The sequence below is a fragment of the Homo sapiens genome, chromosome 10 (genome assembly GCF_000001405.40).
Source record: "Homo sapiens chromosome 10, GRCh38.p14 Primary Assembly".
In the NCBI taxonomy this organism is placed as follows: domain Eukaryota; kingdom Metazoa; phylum Chordata; class Mammalia; order Primates; family Hominidae; genus Homo; species Homo sapiens.
Genome location: NC_000010.11, coordinates 24,779,489 through 24,801,633, shown reverse-complemented (window position 1 = coordinate 24,801,633; position 22,145 = coordinate 24,779,489).

Here is a 22,145-nt window from a genome sequence, read left to right as displayed (position 1 = left end):
TACCTTTCATACACAAGTGTGTATGATATACAGAATGATGTTCTTTGGAAAAATAAGAGAGAAAGCAAGAAACAGAAATTATAGAAACCAGAGAATGAAACACAAGATGATGGCTATATGGGAGGCATAGGAAACAACCAGTTCAAGTTAGACTATGAGGAGAGAAGCCTCCAAGAAGAAGCTCTGCTGGATAAAACAAAACAAAACCAATGTCCTTGTGTGAAAAATAGTATCAAGAGGCATATTACAGAGCTGTTGGAGTATTTAGAATTAATGATTGCACAAATTTAAAAAAATATTTAGTCAATAACTCCAGGAACATTTAGGGACTTTGCATGATGATATCTTGTAATATAAAAAGCAAAGCAAAAAAAAAATTTAAATTTTAAATAAGAAAAGGAACATATGCTCTTCTACTTACCTCAGCCAAAAAATAAAAAACATTTACATAGTCATAATAATGTGAATTCCAAATATTGATTTACCCAAAACTTATGATATAAGTTAGGAAGAATGAGAAGTCAGGACAGCAGCGGGGAAAGAAAGCCAAATCCTCATCTAGGATAACAGACGATTACATTTCAAAAGGGATTCGGTGAAACATGGTGCTATAAACACATTACTAAGAATGACGGAGGAAAATGCCATAGGGGATAGTTTTGAAGTCGATATCATTAGAAAGCACGATTCCAGTTGGGGAGGCCTGGGAGATGGGTCTTAAAGTTTTTTTTATTTGTTTGTTTCTTTTTCTTTGAGATGTAGTCTCACTCTGTGGCCCAGGCTGAAGTGCAATGGTGCAATCCCGGTTCACTGCAATCTCCACCTTCCGGGTTCTAGCAATTCTCCTGCCTCAGCCTCCCGAGTAGCTGGGATTACAAGTGTGTGCCACCATGCTCGGCTAATTTTTGTATTTTTAGTAGAGATGGGGTTTTGTCATGTTGGCCACGCTGGTCTCAAACTCCTGACCTCAAGTGATCCGCCCGCCTTAGCTTCCCTAATTGATGGGATTACAGGCGTGAGCCACCGTGCCTGGCCAGGGGGCTTAAAGTTCTAAAACTACATTGATGAGTTACTTTGATACAAATTTAAATTAATTCACTTTAAATTGTAGCTAGATTTTCCAGGTGTCTAGGGTGGCAGATGACATGTTTTTGTGTTTGCTAAGACTTGTAGAGGTCCCTACCCATAGTAATGGGTGGTAGATCACTACCTAATTGTTGATATAATTAGGAAAAAAACCACAGCTTTAAAATGAGCTATTTTTGTAATGACTGTATTTTTTGTTTACTTTCCCCTTTGCATTTATAAAATTATAACATTTAGAATTGGAAGAGACAGAAGATTGAATTAAGATGGTTAACTGAGCACAGATGCCTAAAAATGACAGAAAAGAGATTACAAGTTTAAAATAATAAACCCATAATAGGGCTGGAGAACAGGAAGGGGTATTCTTGGAGGACCAGAAATAAGAAGGAATATCTAAATAAGGGAAGGCAGGCAGGGTTCGTTCATTGAGGAGGCTGTTTTTCTGAAAGCAAACGACTGTTGTAGAAGGAGGAAGTCATTCTGGAATGCTCCAAGCCTCCAACCCCAAGCTGGGAGGTACAGCTTGTGAGGAGTAAGAGGGGAGCCCAGAGGCAAACCTGGGGGTAACTGGTTTGCGACATGCATTAGGAGCAGCCAGATGAGATAAGCTCCGACCTCTCCTTGCCAAGTAGAGGTGTCTGCCCTTGGGTAGGAGCAATGAATGTGAGCTTTGGAAGAAGACTTGTAAACACTCAGAAATAATGGGGTGTCCCCATATCCAGGAGACTGACTATGGGTATAGCCCACTTGACAGTTGGTATAGCTCACCCCTTCTTAAGAATGCTGGGAAGCAAAGAAAGCACTCTAGACAGGCTACAAGGACATGCCAGCCATCATATGAGTTCACACCTAAGAATGGGCAATCATTTTTTACAAAACCAATATCCTGAAGAGTGATATCAAACTCAATAAGCAGAAGCTCATTTTTTATGAGGACACAGAGTTAATATCCTCAGAGAGATAAAAGAGGATATTGCATCCCTGAAACTGAACAGGATTTTTTTTTTTTTTTTTTTTGAGATAGGGTCTCACTCCATCATCCAGGCTGGAGTGCAGTATCATCACGATCATAGCTCACTGCAGCCTTGAACTCCTGGACTCAAGCAATCCTCCCACCTCAGCCTCTCAAGTAGCTGGAAGGGCTGCAGACAAGTGCCACCATGCCCAGCTAACTTTTCTATTTTTTATTTTGCAGAGAGAGAGTCTTGCTATTTTGCCCAGGCTGGTCTCAGAATTCTGGTCTCAAGTGATCCTCTCACCTTGGCCTCCCAAAGCACTGGAATTACAAGCATGAGCCACCACGCCTTGGCCATTTTTTTTTCTCAGGAAATGATTAGAGACATAGAAATCAAAACTATGGGGCCATGCCTGTAATCCCAGCACTTTGGGAGGCTGAGGTGGGTGGATCACTTGAGGTCAGGAGTTCAAGACCAGCCTGGCTAACATGGTGAACCCCTCTCTCTACTAAAAATACAAAAATTAACCAGGTGTAGTGGCGCTTGCCTGCAGTCCCGGCTACTCTGGAGACTGAGGCAGGAGCATCACTTGAACCCGGGATGCAGTGGTTGCAGTGAGCTGAGATTGTGCCGACTGCACTCCAGCCTGAGAGACAATGGTCAGAACGAGAACCTTTCAGATCTCATTTGTATTTTCCTTCCTACGGCATTCTTGACTGTGTCTGTGTTGACAGACAGCTCACAATCTTATCAGTCTACTCTATTGTGGGAGAGCTCTAATTTAAAAGTTTAACAATTCTCTTGTATTTTGAATTTTGTCTCCTTGCTCCTAAATCCACTGGTCCTGGCTCTGCCTCTACAGCAAAACTAAGTCTGCTTCCTCTTCTACAAGAAAGCCTTCCAGATATTTGCAAACACTTATGATGTCTCTCTCCTTAGTCTTCTTGTCTGTGAGCCAAATAGTCAATTCACTGAACTGTTTTTCACCTGACAGCTTCTAGATGCTTTGTTCTTCTGATAACCTTTCCCCTGAGCTCTTTTTAGAGCTCTTTTTAGATTATCCCCAATACCTGGGATAGAAACAACTTGTGGTAGATCTGGAATTGCGCATATTTTGGATGTGGCCTAATATTTCCACAGTGGTATTATTATTATTACTCAACTGCTATTAATAATAATATCTAAGCAGACATGAGTGGTAGTGCTTTCCTTGAAGAACCCCAGGGAATGAGTAGACTTGTTTCTTCAATGTTTAATATTAATATAATATTAGGTTCATCTATTTACTAAATAGTTATTACCCACGAGCTACAATCCACAGATGGTGCTGGGTGCTATTGGGGCTTCCAAAATGAATGAGGTATAGTTGCTGCCCTAAGGAAGTTTATGGTTTAGTAGGAAACTTAAGATATACATATAAATAAACCTCCAATGTAGAAAGTGGTACAGATGGTAGAAGCATACAGATATAGAGCTATGGGATCCAAAGGAGATGTGTCATCTAAAAGCAGAAATGCTTCCTGATAAACAATATCTCAGAAGGCTGGAGATAGGCTGGGCACGGTGGCTCATGCCTGCAATCCCAGCACTTTGGGAGGATGAGGCGGGCAGATCACTTGAGATCAAGAGTTTGAGACCAGCATGGCCAACATGGTGAAACCCCGTCTCTACTAAAAATACAAAAATTAGCAAGATGTGGTGGTGCACACCTGTAGTCCCAACTACTTGGGAGGCTGAGGTGGTTGGATCGCTTGAACCCGGGAGGTGGAGGTTGCAGAGAGCTAAGATCATGCCATTGCACTCCAGCCTGGGCAACAGAGCAAGACCCTCTCTCAAAAAAAAGAAGGCTGGGGATGGAGTTCCTGCTGCCCAGACTCTTTGCCTGGACTTGGATTCTCTCTTTGCCCAGCTTTCTCTTCCTATCTTCTCCTCAGTTCCAGAGCTCTGTGCATGTCTCTGTTTGGTCTTATCGTTCCTTCCTGGGCTTAAAGATGGGCTGAGATGCCTAGCTGGAAGAATCAGCCTAGGGTTGGGCACAATGGCTTATGCCCGCAATCCCAGTACTGAGGCAGGAAGATCCCTTGGGCCCAGGATTTCAAGATCAGCCTGGGTAACATAGCAAGACCCCATCTCTACAGAAAGTTTTACAAAAGTAGCTGGGTATGGTGTTGCTTCCCTATAGTCCTAGCTGCTTGGGAGGCTAGGGTAGGAAGATTGCTTGAGCTCAGGAGTTTGAGTCCCACCTGGACAACATAGCAAGACCCTGTTTCAAATTAAATAAATAAATAAAAGGTTAAATGGTAAATTTTATATTATGTATATTTTACCTCAATTAAAGAAAAAAAGAATCAGCCCATCCTTGGCCCTTAGACATTACAGAATTCAATTTCTCACATCTTTTCCTGGCTTTGTCCCACAGCTTCACCCCTCCTTCTAAGGACTGGGTTGACTTGGAGCTACTCCTGACATGGGCCTGTCTCATGGATGCAGTGATGATGATGAAAGATTAGCTAAGGGAAAACTATGTTCCCAGAGCAGGGACTTGTCTTCAGCGGACACAGTCAACAGACTAAAGCTAGAACCCTCCAGGGCAAGGCTCACATTCTAGTCAGGGCTCATCTTCCCATAAACTTGTATGTAGCAGGCTCATTAATTAACCAGGAGATTTGTTTGGTTCTAGTCTGGACTGGGGCTGACATGGAAAATCCTCATCCCCATCCCTGCCAATCTCGCCACTGTCACAGAAGCGCTTTTTTTTTTTTTTTTTTTTTTTTTTTTAGATGGGTTCCCACTATGTTACCCAGGCTGGTCTTGAACTTCTGGGCTCAAGGGATCCTACTGCCTCGGCCTCCCAAAGTGCTGGGATTACAGGCGTGAGCCATTGCACCTGGCCAGAAGCACATCTTATTTTTTATTTTTTTTAAATTATAGGGACAAGGTCTCACTCTGTCACCCAGGCTGGAGTGCAGTGATGTGATTATACCTCACTGTAGCCACTAACTGCTGGGCTGAAGCCATCCTTCACCTCAGCCTCCTGAGTATATAGGACTATAGGCATGTATCACCTTGCCCAGCTAATTTCTTATTGTTTGTAGAGATAGGGTCTTACTATGTTGCCCAGGCCAATCTTGAACCCCAGGAGCTCAGGTGATCCTCCTGCCTGGGCCTTCCAAAGTGTTGGGATTACAGGTGTGAACCACTGTGCCCCAACCTGGAAGCTCATTTAGAAGGATGCTCTTTCCTGGGCATTTCTTCCTCCATGGCCAGGGCAGGACCTCATACTTAGGGTGGGCAGCCTCGGGACCAGGCGACAGAGTTTCCAAATTGGTGACCAAGCCAGCAGACTGCAGTATTGTGTCATAAAGAGTGCTCTATTCATTGATTTTGACAAGCGTTGTTTAATTTTAATTATTCATGATGCTTTATAGTCCACTAGAGACTGCCCACAAGTCCTTCAATAAGAAGCAATCCAGGAGAGTAACCTGAGACCTTGGTCTGCCTCTCAACTGTCAAATCCTTTTTTTTTTTTTCCTTTGTAGAGACAGGGTCTCATTCTGTCACCCAAGCTGCAGTGCAGTGGCACAGTTATAGTTCACTGCAGCCTCAAATTCCTGGACTCAAATGATCCTCCCACTTCAGCCTCCTGAGTAGCTGGGATTTCAGGCCTGTGCCACCATATCCTGCTAACTTTTAAATTTTTTTGTAAAGATGGGGTCTTGCTATGTTGCTCAGGGTGGTCTTGAACCCCTGGCCTCAAGCAATCTTCCCACCTCAGCCTCCCAAACCACTGGGATTACAGACGTGAGCCATGGCACCCGGCCTCAAATCCCTCTTACAAAGAAAGAAGAGTTATTTGTTCATTCCATAAACATTTATTGATATTGACATGATAATTATATGTGTATGATAACAGGGTTATGATAATAAATGGGTCTGTGATTGATTAAATGAAAATTGACTCCTTACAGGTCCGTAAGTATTCTGTTTTTATATGAAGACTCTTCCACCACAGTCTTGTAAAATCCAAAACAGCTGTATCTCTAGGTATTCATGGGGGCCAGTAGTGGCACGATTCCATGTAATTGGTTGAATTACGTCCCTCTCCCTCCCAAATTCCTATGATGAAGTCCCCAGTACCTCAGAATATGACAGTATTTTTGGAGATAGAGTCTTTAAAGAGATAAGAAAGTGTCCTACTCTGTTTGGACAGCAATAACCAAATACTATAGACTAGGTGGCTTATAAATAACAGAATACTATTTCTCATGGTTCTGGAGGCTGGGAAGTCAAGGTGCTGGCAGATTTGATGTCTGGCGAACACTTGCTTCCTGGTTCATGAGGGCCACTGTGTTCTCACACGGTGGAAAGCGCAAGGGTGCTCTCTGGGCTTTCTTTCCTAAGGGCACTAATCCCAATCATGAAGGCTCCACCCTTATGGCTTAATTACCTCCTAACGGCTCCACCCCCTAATAGCATCACACTGGGGGCTAGGATGCTGACATATACATTCTGGGGATGGGGAGCACGCAAACATTCGGTCTCTAGCATTACGGTTAAATGAGGTCTTTAGGGTGGGCCCTGATCCAATATGACTGGTGTCCTTATAAGAAGAAGAGATTAGGACACAGACACAGAGAGAAAGAAGAGTATGTGAAGGAAGACACAGGGAGAAGATGATCCTCTACAAGCCAAGAAGAGATGCATTAAAAGAAACCTACCCTAGCCAGCTGCAGTGGCTCATGCCTGTAATCCCAGCACTTTGGGAGGGTGGATCACTTGAGGTCAGGAGTTTGAGACCAGCCTGGCCAACATGGTGAAATCCTGTCTCTACTAGAAACACAAAAATTAGCCAGGTGTGGTGGCACACACCTGTAATCTCAGCTACTCTGGAGGCTGAGGCAGGAAAATTGCTTGAACCCGGGAGGCGGAGGTTGCAGTGAGCCAAGAGCGTGCCACTGCACTCCAGCCTGGGCAACAGAGCAAGACTCGTCTCAGAAAAAAAGGAGAGAAGAAGAAGAAACCAACCCTGCTGACACATTGATCTTGGATTTCTAGTCTCCAGAATTGTAAGACAATCAATTTCTGTTGTTTAAGCTCCCCAGCATGTGGTACTTTCTTATGGCAGCCCTAGCAAATGAACACACTCTATCATTGCCCAGGCTACTTCTCTTACAATTTAATAATCCCATTCCCTTCAAGGACATTTTGAGACAGAAATCATATCCAAGACATTAGGACAGAACTGTTTTGATTCATGAAAGAACTGAAGAAATACACAGCTAATAAGTATTCCTAGCAACGCAGTGTGCTTTAGGAAAAGAAAAAAATATGGTGGGGAGGGGGTTGGGATGTACCATGTCCCAGCTCAGCAAGCTGTCGATCTGCTAAAAAAGCATATGTGTTATTACTCACATTTCCTTCCAGTGTAGGAAGTCTCCCTGGAGCTGGCATTGCTGCATCAATGCTCAACACCCAGGCATGTGTTTACCACAGTCACCAGCAGTTCAGTCAAATTGTGCAGTCTTTTAACCAGGACCCAGATTATAATTTATATGAATAGGAAAACTCTCCAACTTTAATCTCCAAAGAAGGAAGCCATTTCCAGCAGTCAGGGAATCTAGGTGATTAGCGCCTTAGCTTTGTGCTCCTAAATGTCTGCCTTGTACTTCCCCTGCCTTTGAACCCTCTCCCTGACACACCCAACACACTCCACCACACCCATGGGTTCACAGCACATTCCCAGCTTGGCCATGTCAAGATCCACTTTTGCTTCTCCAGGGAACATTTCTGGCTATGGTCTCCACCTGTTGCCCTAATTTCTTGCCAGCATTTTGAACTATTTTCCCAGCTTTCCCCCTAATGTCATGAGCCTTGTGCCCAGTATGCTTCTTTTTATTTTTCTTTTTCTTTTTTTTTCTCGAGACAGGGTCTCGTTCTCTCACCCAGGCTGGAGTGCAGTGGCAAAATCACAGCTCACTGCAGCCTCAACCTCCCAGGGTCAAGCGATCCTCCCACTTCAACCTCCCCAGTAGCTGGGACTACAGGCACTCACAACCATGCTCAGCTAATTAGTGTGTGTGTGTGTATTTTTTGTAAAGATGGGGTTTTACCAGATTACCACCCTCCTCCACCTCCCAGAGTGCTAGGACTACAAGCATGAGCTACAACACCTGGCCCCTGTGTACTTGTTAACTTATAACAACCCCTCCATTCCCAATGTGCCCATGACTGAGCTGCCTGGCTTGTAGATTCAGTTATTCCTCTGGAGAGCATCATCCAGATCTGACCTGTTCACCTGAACCATGCCCATCAGTTCTCCTAGCTGATGGTTATGATCCTGCCCTTGTTCTCCTGGCCTAATACACTATCTTTCCAGACCTTTTAGTAAGAAGTCCCTAGGCAAAGCAAGCTTTTTGCACAGATCACCTTATTACTGCCCAAAGTTTAGCCAACATTTACATATTTCTCCCTTCTTCGAATCTTGCAGAAAGAATCTTTGTGCCCAACTCAATGGCAAAACAACTTCCATATTTACTGAAAGCTGGGCACAAGATTCTTTCCTAATGCTCTCTTCTATCAATATTACTGGTAGCAAGCCTACTTGGCAAACCTAAGGACCCAGTTTCCTTTCACATTGGAATTTATGTTAGATGCACCAGAAAAATATCATTCACAAAATGCTCAACATCACTAATCATCAGAGAAATGCAAATTAAAACCACAATGAGGGATTATCTTACATCAGTCAGAATGGCTATTATTAAAAAGTCAAAAAAGCAACAGATGTTGGCATGGATTCAGAGAAAAGACAACCTGATTCGGTTTGGCTGTGTCCCCAACCAAATCTCATCTTGAATAGTAATCCATAATCCCCACATGTGGTGGGAGGGACCCCATGGGAGGCAACTGAATCACTGGGGCAGTTTCCCCCATGCTATTCTCGTGATAGTAAGTTTTCACAAGATCTGATGGTTTTATAAGGGTCTTCTCCCTTCATTTGGCTCTCATTCTCTCTCCTGCTGCCATGTAAAGAAGGAGGTGTTTGCTTCCCCTTCTGCCATGATTGTAAGTTTCCTGAGGCATCCCCTGCTATGCAAAACTGTTAATCAATTAAACCTCTTTTCTTTTTTACATTACTCATACTCGTGTATGTCTTTATTAGCAGTGTGAGAACAGATGAATACAGAACTCTTGCATACTATTGGTGGGAGTATAATTTATTACAACCTCTATGGAAAACAGTATGGGGATTTCGCAGAGAACTCAAAATAGAACTACCATTCGACCCAGCACTCGCACTGTTGTGTATTTATCCAAAAGAAAAGAAATCCTTATATAAAAAAGACACCTGCACTCGTATGTTTATTGCAGCACTAGTCACAATAGAAAAGACACAGAATCAACTTAGATGCCCATCAACGGTGGGCTGTATTTAAAAAATGTGGTACATATAATGCCATGCTATACTATGCAGCCATAAAAAAAGAATGAGATCATATCCTTGCAGCAACATGGCTGGAGCTGAAGACCTTTATCCTAAGCAAATTAATGCAAAAACATCACACCACATCCCCAGCTTGGCCATGTCAAGATCCACTTTTGCTTCTCACTTACAAGTGGGAGCTATAATTCTCTATAAGTGAGAAGCAAAAGTTATGTTTAATTAAGATAACTTATTCCACATGCTCTCACTTGTGAGTGGGAGTGAAACAATGGGTACACATGGGCATAAAGATGGAAACAATAGACAATGGGGACTCCAAAAGGTGGGAGGTTGGCAGAGGGATGAGGGTTGAAAAACTGTCCATTGAATACAATGTTCACTATTTAGGTGATGGGTACACTAGACGCCCAAACCTCACCATTGTGCAATACATCCTTGTAACAAACCTACACGTGTACCCCCTGAATCTAAAATTTAAAAAAAAAAGACTTATAATGCTGCCCCCAGCCTCTGTGAGAGCTCTCATTACAATCACCCTTTCGGTTTTGGGGTGTCATCCACTGAGCCAGCTCGATGACCTTACTCTGAAATAAACCTTCTCCCAACCCCTCACCGGCTGTTAGGCTAGATGACAGATTAGTTTCTATCATCCTGCACCCCATTTCCTTCCTCCTCCACTTAGCCACAGACATGCTGTGTCACCTCAAATTCTGGGGTGCATTTCCATGCCCTTCCATTTCTCTCTGCACTTTCTTATCACACTGTTTCTGCTTGTTCAAAACCAGAGCATTGTGTGTGTAGAGCTGTTTATGCCCGAGGCAATGCCAGGCCAGTGTATGTTGGGAATAGCCAGGACCCTGCAGCACATATTATTGCCCTAAGGAATACTAATTGACTCGCTGATAAATTGAGACGGAAGAAAAGCCTCAAAGACAATGCCAGGCTCATTTTAGAAGAGAACCCTTAAAGCACATCTACAGAAACATCAGTCATTTAAAGAAACAATCCTTTTCTCTCTCCTAAATTTGTACTTCCTTGGGCTTCATCCTCTGCTCCTTTCTTAGCCATTTAAGGATCGTCCTTTAAAGGGCCTGAACAAGACATACGCAGACAAAAATAAAATAAAATACAGAGCTCAGAATCAAGGTCTCTGCTGTTGTCAAGTTCAGGATTAGCTGAAAAAGCCCAGCCTTTCTGGTCTTGTCCCGTTATCATGAAACACCATTTTCCCAAGACATTCTTGTAATACGTCATCATTCACCAATCAGAGAGCCCAGTGGGGTGATATTTAATTCATGCCTGTCAATCACGACACAAAGAAAAGGCCTTCAGCTGGCCACCGAGAGAATCCGCTGTCCGAACAAAGAGTCCGCAGGGATGTGGTCCCAGCCACGAACTGCTCTCAGGAGCCGGCTCTGCCTCGCTACCAGGCCCTTGCGTGGTTTCAAAATAATTGAGGGTTTGGAAGCAGCAAGGCAGATTAAAGAGATTAACCCAACAGAGCAACTCTGCAACATGGTCAGGAGAGAACAAGATGGGGACTTTCATGTTTTAGCTCTTCAGTCGTAGATCAGCATGGCCTTGGCATTCGACCTCTGCATCAAATCCAAATATTTGAATTTTAGAGTAAATTGCCATAGCATAACCCTCTCAACCGGGGTGTGTATCAGCTCTGTGAGTTTTAAATGGATGTATCAGCAAAACCGGTGAAATCAAGTAGTTAAGATATGAATCTGGTGTATGAAAACTCAAAAACCTTCATTTCCATGCCTTGCATTTCTCTTTGGAAGTTGGAGGGATATGAACAATAAATAATTGAAATTAAACACTTCCGTTGCAATTGTTGGTAACGCAAACACGGGATTCAAAGGCGGCAGCTGGACAATAAAGGAACAGTTCCTCACGTTCAAAATTAGCTCACCAAGGAGTTTTTTTCTCCTCAAAACAGTCACTGGATAGTACAGTGTTTTTTTTCTCCCCGCCTCTCCTGTACTAGTAATAGAATCAAAATGGTTTTGTATTGTATGTTGATGCTAAGTAGGGGAACTTGAGCATATGCATCTCAGTGATGCAAAATCTAATCCCACCTTTCTTTCTATCCCAAGAACCCTTTATATTTATCCTATACCTTTTTCTTCCAAAACATTTTCATATTTGTTCATTCCACCTTAATGAAGGTAAAAATTGTTTTACTAACTTTTTTGTAGCCCCCTTTTCACACATGAAAAAACAATGAAGGAATCTGGCATAAAAATTAATCAGTGGTGGGGTGGAAGAACAAAAACAAAAGCAAATGGGGTTTGGAGATGGGAAAAGCCCGGTGTTGAATCTCAGCCCTCCAATTTCTAGCTCTCTGACTTTGGCAAGATGCTTAAACTCTAGGTTTTTTGTTTTGTTTTGTTTTGTTTTTGAGACAGAATCTCGCTCTGTCCCCTAGGCTGGAGTGCAATGGCACGATCTCACTGCAATCTCCTCCTCTCCGGTTCAAGTGATTCTCCTGCCTCAGCCTCCCGAGTAGCTGGAATTACAGGCGCCTGCCATCATGCCCAGCTAATTTTTGTATTTTTAGTAGAGACGGGATTTCGCCATGTTGGCCAGGCTCATCTTGAACTCCTGACCTCAAGTGATCTGCCCACCTTGGCCTCCCAAAGTGATGGGATAACAGGTATGAGCCACCATGCCCAGCTAGATGCTTAAATTCTTTGATCATCAGTTTCCACTCCTGTGAAGTGGAAATAATACCTATCTCACAGTAGTCTCACTGCAATTAAGTCAGATTACACAGGTGAGGGTTCCTGGCACATCCTAGAAATACTTACAAATACAGTCGTGTGTTGCTTAACAACAGGGATACCTTCTGAGACATGCATCATTAGATGATTTCATTGTATCTTGTAGAGTGTACTTACACAAGCCTAGATGGCATAGCCTATTACATAGCTAGGCTATATGGTACAGCCTACTGCGACAAATCTGCACTGCATGTGACTGCACTGCATACTGTAGGCAGCTTTAACACAATGGTAAGTATTTGTGTATCTAAACATAGAAAATGTACAGTAAAATATGTTATAAAGGATTAAAAAGTGGTATACTTACAGGGCATCGTGGCTCACACCTGTAATCCCAGCCCTTTGGGAGGCAGAGGCAGGAGGATCACCTGAGGTCAGGAGTTCAAGACCAGCCTGGCCAACATGGTGAAACTCCATCTCTACAAAAATACAAAAATTAGCTTGGCATGATGGTGGGTGCCTGTAATCCCAGCTACTCCCAGCAATCCTGTAATCCCAGCTAATCCCAGGAGGCTGAGGTGGGAGAATCACTTGAACCCAGGAGGCTGAGGTTGCAGTGAGCCAAGATGGTGCCACTGCACTCCAGTCTGGGCGACAGAGCGAGACTCATTCTCGAAAAAATAAATAAGTAAATAAATAAAATGGTATACCTGTATAGGGTACTGAGCAGGAATGGAGCTTGCAAGACTGCAAGTTGCTGTGGGTGAGTCAGTGAGTGGTGGGTGAATGTGAAGGCCTAGGACATTACTGTGCATTACTGTAGACTTACCTTATAAATATTGTACACTTAGGCAACACTACATTTATTTTAAAATTTTTTTGTTCTTCAATAATTTACTCTTAGCTTACTATAACTTTTTTTATTTTATAAACTAGATTTTTAAAACTTTTAGACTTTTTGCAATAATGCTGCTTAAAACAAATACATTTTACAGCTGTATAAAAGTATCTTTCTTTTTTTCTGTTGAGACAGACTCGTGCTCTGTTGCCCAGGCTGGAGTGCAGTGGTGCCATCTCAGGTCACTGCAACCTCTGCCTCCCAGGTTCAAGCGATTCTTGTGACTTAGCCTCCCAAGTAGCTGGGACTACAGACGCCTGCCACCACGATCGGCTAATTTTTGTATTGTTCGTAGAGACAGGGCTTCACCGTGTTGGCCAGGCTGGTCTCAAACTCCTGGCCTCAAGTGATCTGCCCACCTCAGCCTCCCAAGCTGCTGGGATTATAGGCATTAGCCACCGTGCCTGGCCTATTTTCTTTCTTTATATCTTTATTCTATAAGCTTTTCTCTATTTTTATATTTTTTAATTTTTATTGTTTTACTTTTTAAACTTTTTTTATTAAAAACTAAGACACAACCAGACATTAGCCTTGGCCTACACAGGGTCAGGATCACCAACATCACTGTCTTCCACCTCCACATTTTGTCCCACTGGAAGGTCTTCAGGTGCAGTAACATACATAGAGCGCTCATGTCCTGTGATGACAATGCCTTCTCCTGGAATACTTCCTGAAGACCCTTCCCAAGGCTGTTTTACAGTTAACTTTTTAAAAATAAGTAGGAGTACAAGCTCAAATAACGATAAAAAGTATAGTATAGTAAGTATATAACCCAGTAACATAATTATTTATTAGCAAATATTATATGCGCTAACCTTGTATATGACTGGCAGTACAACAGTTTTGTTGACACCAGCATCACCACAAACACGTGAGTAACACGTAGTGCGCTACAACGTTATGACAGTGACGATGCCACTAGCGATAGGAGTTTTTCAACTGCATTGTAACCTTGTTTTTTGGGGTTTTGTTTTTGTTTTGTTTTGTTTTGTTTTTGAGACAGAGTCTTGCCCTGTCACCCAGGCTAAAGTGCAGTGGCACCATCTCGGCTCACTACAACGTCCACCTCCCGGGTTCAAGCGATTCTCCTGCCTCAGCCTCCCAAGTAGCTGGGATTACAGACACCCACTGCCACATCAGGCTAATTTTTGTATTTTTAGTAGAGACAGGGTTTCGCCTTGTTGGCCAGGCTGGTCTCAAACGCCTGACCTCAAGAGATCTGCCCCCCTTGGCCTCCCAAAGTGCTGGGATTACAGGCCTGAGCCACTTGTACCCAGCCAACTGCATTGTAATCTTATGGGGCCACCCCTGTATCTGTAGTCTGTCTCGACAGAAGCATCATTATGCAGTGCATGACTGTAGTAGATTCCTCCTTACGCCAGGAGAAGTTTTGCAGTAGAGCTGGAATTTCTGCCTCTAGCCACGATGCCCAGGACCACTGGCTGGCTCGGCTGATTCTCACATCTGACTGGGTTGCTGGCATCATCTTAAACTAGATACCCTTGGGTTCCCTTTCTGTCCCAGGAGCAGCAGCAGCAGCAGACCTTCCAGAAGTTTCTCTCTCTCCTTTTATTTGCTGACCCTCTTATGGAAACGCGGGACTGGAGAAATTTCAGGAAGAGATTAACCCTGTTAGACCCAGGTCTTTTGTGCCCTACATACTCCTATAGTCTTAGGCTACAATTAAGATTCCAAAAGTAGAATATCTCCAGGAAATTTGCCTTTTAAATATGCCTGCCTTGGCCAGGCATGGTGTCTCACACCTGTAATCCCAGCACTCTGGGAGGCCGAGATGGGTGGATCACTTGAGGTCAGAAGTTCAAGACCAGCCTGGCCAACATGGCGAAACCCCGTCTATACTAAAAATACAAAAATGAGCCAGGTGTGGTTGTGGGTGCCTGTAATCCCAGCTACTCAGGAGGCTGAGGCAGGAGAAGTGCTTGAATCTGGGAGGGAAAGGGTGCAGTGAGCCGAGATCACACCACTGCACTCCAGCCTGGATGACAGAGTGAGACTCCATCCTCGAAAAATAATAATAATTAAAAAAAAAAAATTTAAGTGCTTGCTTGGCCCGGCGCAGTGGTTCACGCCTGTAATCCCAACACTTTTGGAGACCAATGCACTCAGATCACTTAAGGTCAGGAGTTCAAGACCAGCCTGGCCAACATGGTGAAACCTTGTCTCTACTAAAATAAAAAATACAAAAATTAGCCGTGCGTGGTGGTGGGCACCTGTAATCCCAGCTACTCGGGAGGCTGAGATGGGAGAATCGCTTGAACCCAACAGGCGGAGGTTGCCGTGAGCTGAGATCATGCCATTGCACTCCAGCTTGAGCAACAGAGCGAGACTATCTCAAAGAAAAAAAGTATCTGCCTTATAAGGTGGGAAGCAATAATGACAGCATTAAAGCTTAAAAATGCAAGTTGAGGCCAGGCTGGGATTACAGGCATATATATATATATATATATATGTCTAGACATATATATGTGTGTGTGTATAGACATATATATATGTATAGACATATATATATATATATACTATTCTAGTATCTGAGAGGTTAAGTAAATATCCTAGCATCCCAGAGGGTTAGGGCTCAGAGAATATGTGATTTTTAAAATTATATATATATGTATGTATATACATATATATGTATATATACATATGTCATTTCACCTGGACAAAAAATTATATATACACATGTATATGTAATTTTTAAAATCACATATTCTCTGAGCCCTAACCCTCTGGGATGCTAGGATATTTACTTAACCTCTCAGATGCTAGAATATTTAACATATATATATGTTAGGGTATTTAACTTTAGAGCTTCTTAGGGTTTTCTCACCCACATCCCAGGACACAGTTCCAGAGCCTTACACAGCAGTGGGCGTTGTTGGGGATAGAAGGTTGGGGATTCAAGCTCATCTTTGAGATGTCTACACGGGCCACAGGCCCCCAGTCCACACGGGCCCTTTAGTCACTTCCTCACCACGCTCGGAATAAAGGAATCTTCTATTAGGCTGGGAAGTCCAGTGTGCGTGGTCTCTTTCCTTCTCTGAATTCTTGCCTCTGCCTCTTCCCCGGCCACTCCCAGGAGGTAGCTCTTATTCCCCATGGCAGGAAATTTCCTCCCAGTCTGGTTGCCACCTACTTCTCAGCCCGCCTATGTCCCGCTTTCATAGACATCCTCCACGGCTGCTATACCAAGAAGCCACCTGCAGCTCACCAATCTGCCATGATCCCTCATGCCTTCTTGCGTTGCATTGCTGACCCCTCTACCTGCAATATCTTTCCATGCCCTCCTCCCAACCTATGTCAGTTGTTATTCATTCCTAAGTGAAAGCTGATTTGTCATCTCCTGCAATGATTCATCTTTCGTGCCGTCTACAGGTTCTGCATTGGCTCCTCCTCCATTCTACTTGCATAGCACATAAGCACCGTGGCACCCATTCCATTTTATTGTAATGGCCTGGGTGCATGTCTGTTTTCACGACTCATCTAAACACAACCTGAGCTTCGTCTTTCTTTCTCCAGCCACTGCCTGACATACAGCAAGTGCTCAGTTTAGGCTTGTTAAGGCAATTTTCCTATCAGCATCCCTATCCCTTAGCCTTCTCTCCTAATCACCCTTGCCCTCTGTGCTTGAATTTATGGCAGTGCTGTCCACATTTGAGCCATTTAGCTATTAATGTGACCACCAGGGGACCACGGGTTTGAATGAATGAATTACATGTTCTCTCTACTAACCTCCTAATTACAGGGATCTTAGTGGTCAGCCAGTCCAACCTCCTGTTTAGCACACAACTCATCTTACGAATAGTCACTCCATCTCTGCTTAAATAATTCTTAATGCTCTTGTATCAAGTGGATATAATGAGCTTGTCGTAGAAAACACTAGTATGTGGGGTAAACATTAGCAAGAAAACATCTTGACAGAGGAATCATCACTCTGTTGATAAGGACAGAGCAGTCCAGAATGATGCTGGGAAAAAAAGGGACATTCTGTTTTCAGTGGAGCTTATTTTTCTTCCAGATTGCAGGCCAGGTGAAAAGGGAGCTTGACTACCCTAATCTTGCGGGCTGCGTTCTGTGGGCTGGTTTGGGCTGAAATTCTCCAGGTGAAATGACTGGAGCCCTCTGCTCCGTCTTGGAGGAGCCTTTGTTATCTCCACAGCGAGTTTTGGACTCTAACAGTTTTTGGAGAAGAAAAAAAGAGGCGAAGACAGTGGCTCTTTGTGTCTCTCAAAGGAGGCACTGTTTCCTTGGGTTGGCACGGCCCACCGGCAACGTGCTGCCCTTCATGCCTGATGGTTTTCATGCCCGGACACACGGACTGCGTGGTACCAGCCTTCTGGCAGGACAGAAAGGATGGTTGTCTCCTGTGTTGCAAGGGTGACTTCCAAAGCAGAAAATGGAGATAACCGTCTGATCATGACTGTCAATAATTCATCATACCCTCTTTTTATGTCTCCATGATGCAGGTTTAGGAAAGCACTAACAGCCCTAGCATTTCCAGCCAACAGTGGTCTTGAGCTTAGAAGAAGTGGAGTTGCTAAGGATCTCTCTCATATTTCCTTTATTTAGATTCATTATCCAAAGTTGAAAGTCAATGACACCTTAATCTTTATAAATAGCTGTCTGTTTGGTGCAATCTGAACTTCCAGAGTGATATGGTTTGGATTTGTGTTTCCATCCAAATCTTATGTCAAATTGTAATCTCCAATATTGGAGGAGAGGCCTGGTGGGAGGTGACTGGATCATGGGGGCGGAGTCACCCCTTGCTGTTCTCGTGATAGTGAGTGAGTTCTCACGATACCTGGTTGTTTGAAAGTGTGTAGCACCTCCCCCTTCTCTCTCTTCCTCCTGTTACGGTCATGGCCTTCCACCATGACTGTAAGTTTCCTGAAACCTCCCCAGCCATGCTTCCTGAACAGCTCCTGAACTGTGAGTCAATTAAACCTGTTTTCTTTATAAATTACCCAGTCTCAGGTAAATCACCCAGTCTCTTTATAGCAATGTGAGAATGGAGTGATTTTGCATCATTCATTCTTTTTTCTTTTTGTAGACATGGAGTCTTGCTATGTTGCCCAGGCTGGTCTCAAACTTCTGGCCTCAAGAGGTCTTCTCACCTCAGCCTCCCAAAGCACTGGGATTACAAACGTCAGCTACCATGCTCAGCCTCATTCATTGATATAGTTAAACATTTGTTGAGGACCAGCTCCATGCCCCTGCTGTGCCTGGTAATGAGGATAAGGATCAGACAGTCACTATTCATGGAGTACCTTGAACACCCAGAGGAAGAGCTCATGAAACATGGCCAATGGGAATCATGGAAGACCTCTCGGTGTAGGTGGTGATGGAGCTGTCATGTGAACAAACAGGAGTCAGCCAGGGGCTGAGTAGGGGAAGGGCAGGCAGGATTGTGAAGGTAGAGAGAAACCTTGGCACACACTGAGTATGGAAATTAATTCTTAATGGCAGGAGTGTGGGGTGTATATTAGGAGAATGGCAGGAGATACTGACAAAAGTAAAGAGAGATTTTGAAAACAAGCCTTGGGAGCCATTTGATTTTTTTTTTTTTTTAATTTTTATGCCGGGCAAGATGGCTCACGCCTGTAATCCCAGCACTTTGGGAGGCCAAGGCGGGCAGATCCCCCTGAGGTCAGAAGTTTGAGACCAGCCTGGCCAACAAGGTGAAACCCTGTCTCTACTAAAAAATACAAAAATTATCTGGGCGTGGTGGCACACACCTGTAGTCCTAGCCACTTGAGAGGCTGAGGCGAAAGCATCACTTGAACCTGGGAGGCAGAGGTTGCAGTGAGCCAAGATGGTGCCACTGCACTCCAGCCTGGGCCACAGGGCAAGACTCCATCTCAAAAAAAAAAATTATTTTTAGAGATGGGGTCTTGCCCTGTCACCCAGGGTGGAGTGTAGCGGTGCCATCATAGCTCACTGCAGCCTCAAACTCCTGGCCCCACGATATCTGGCTTCAGCCTCCCAAGTAACTGGGACTATAGGAGTGCACCACCACGCCCAGCTAATTTTTAAATTTTTTGTAGAGTCAGAATCTTGCTATGTTGCCCAGGCTTGTCTCAAACTCCTGGGCTCAAACCATCCTCCTGTCTTGGCATCCCAAAGCATTGGGATTATAGGCATAAGCCACCATGCTTGGCTGGATTTTAGATTTTATCCTGAAGGTATCCGGGGGCTCCTGAAAGATTTTCTTTCACTGGATGGTGACATGACCAGATAAAGCAGACGGACCATATGTCAGGACAACAAAACAATCACACATGGAAGGCCACACATCCTCAGTGGCTCATGTGGGCCCAAAGAAACAGTGTTGCCACAAAAGACACCAACACAAGTTTCAGAAAACTGGATGCTGTCCTTCATTCCTACTGAATTGTATTCTTAGGGGCAGGGAGAGTTGCTTTTGTACTCTGTACTACGAAGAGATACCTGGTCTAAGAGACATGTGGTAGGTGCTCAACAGATGTTCGTTGGATGAATAAATAAAGGAAGGAATGAAGGAATGAACAAATGAGTGGTTCTGCCTTCTGGGAGAAGAGGGAACAGGTATAATCCCTCTTTGATGGGATTTCATATTCGACTTTCCGATACTTGGAGATCACTATTTCTTTTATTTATTTATTTATTTATTTAATTTTTTTGTAGAGACAGGGTCTCACCATGTTGCCAAGGCTGGTCTTGAATACCTGGCCTCAAGCGACCCTCCTTGCCTCGTCCCCCCAAAGCCCTGGGATTATAGGCATGAGCCACTGCGCCCTGCCTGGACTGTTATTTCTCTTTTTTTTTCTGAGACTCACTGCAAGCTCCACCTCCCAGGTTCACGCCATTCTCCTGCCTCAGCCTCCAGAGTAGCTGGGACTGCAGGCGCCCACCACCACTCCTGGCTAATTTTTTGTATTTTTAGTAGAGACGGGGTTTCACCGTGTTTGCCAGGATGGTCTCAATCTCCTGACCTCATGATCCGCCCGCCTCGGCCTCCCAAAGTGCTGGGATTACAGGCATGAGCCACTGTGCCCGGACGATTGTTATTTCTTTAGTCTGATATTTGCAGGTTCTGCATTCTTAGCTCTTTCAACTATTCTTATGTGATGTCATTTTTCCCTACCATCCCTATTGAATTTGTTCTCATCTGTCATATCCCCCCTGGTTAAAATGTGGTCCCAAGAAAGAAACGAAGGCTGAGAGTAGTGGTTTATGCCTGTAATCCCAGCACTTTGGGAGGCTGAGGCAGGTAGATTGCTTGAGCTCAGGAGTTCCAGACCAGCCAGGGCAACATAGTAAAACCCCGTCTCTGCAAAAAAAAAAATACAAAAATTAGCCCAGCGTGGTGGTGAGCACCAGTAGTGTCAGCTACTCAGGAGGCTGAGGCAGGAGGATCACTGGAGCCCAGGAAGTCAAGGCTGCTGTGAGCCATGATGACACCACTGCACTCCAGCCTGGTGACAAGCAAGACCATGTTTCAGAAAAAAAAAAAAAAAAAAAAAGGAAACAAAAGGCTCCAGGGATAAAAAGAAAAAGAGAGAGGCAAAGGCTCCAGGTGAGGCCGGGCGTGCAATGGCTCATGCTTGTAATCCCAGCACTTCGGGAGGTTGAGGCGGGCAGATCACTTGAGCCCAGGAGTTCAAGACCAGCTTGACTAACATGGTGAAACCCTGTCTCTACTAAAAATACAAATAATTAGCCAGGCTTGGTGGTGAGCGCCTGTAATCCCATCTACTCAGGAGACTGAGGCAGCAGAATCACCTGTGCCCGGGAGGCGGAGGTTGCAGTGAGCAAAGGTCACACCACTGCACTCCAGCCTGGGTGACGGAGTTAAGATTCTTTCTCAAAAAAAAATTAATTAATTTTAAAAAGGGTCCAGGTGAGCTCTGGCCTCGGAGAAGGCTCTCAGGACTCTGATTGCTTTTCATCTCAGTTTTACCTAGCAAACACTTAACCCTGGTGACTTATATTGTGCCTATAGTAAATTAAAATCCTGAAATATTTTTCATATATTTCACTTTTATGCCATATCTCCTTCCACAAAAATAAACTAAAATTTTAGCTGGATGTGGTGGCTCATACCTACAGTCCCAATACTGAGGCAGGAGGATTGATTGAGGCCAGGAATTCAAGACCAGCCTGGGCAACAAAGCGAAATTCTGTCTCTACAGAAAAATTAAAAATTAGCCAGGTGTGGTGGCGTGCACCTGTAGACCCTGCTCCTCAGGAGGCTGAGGTGGAAGGATCATTTGTGCCCAAGAGTCTGAGGTTGTAGTGAGCTAAGATTGTGACATTGCACTCAGCTTGGGTGACGGGGCATGACCCTGTCTCAAAAAATAAATAAATAAATAAATAAAATTTAAATATTTCCTCTATTTGGTATATATGGCTTACATCTTTTAGACACAAGTGTAGAGTTCTACATTTAGTTCTTTTTAACCTCAAGTCGCTTTCTTGGACCCATTATTGCAGCCTATTAAGGTCATATTAGCTACATCCTCCAGCTTCATGTCATCTACAGACATGATCAATGTGCAATCAATGCCCTAATTCAAACCACCAGTGGAAATGTTTAGCAGGCTAGATCCTTGTGGCTTAGCAACTAGAAAGTTCTCTCAGGCTGGGCTTTTTCAAACTGTGGTGGTGATCCTTCACTGGATAGTGAAATAATTTTATTGACTGAAAATAGCATTTTTTAAAAATAGCATAGAAAAGAAGAGAGTATGTCAGAATTTATTGCATGTAGTAAGTGCAGGCTTTATTTTGTGAAACTTTTCTTTCAGTCATACACACATACACACACATTACTAAGGTCTATATAACACAACCACAGACAGATACAAATAATATAATTACATGAATCACATAATTAAATTGGAGAATAAATATTGTACTACTTCTTTAAAACATAGTAAATAGGTTAACATAGAAATGAATACAGAGCCCCATTATTACACTTCTAATTCTTGACTTTTTTTTTTTTTTTTTTTTGAGACAGAGTTTCAATCTGTAGC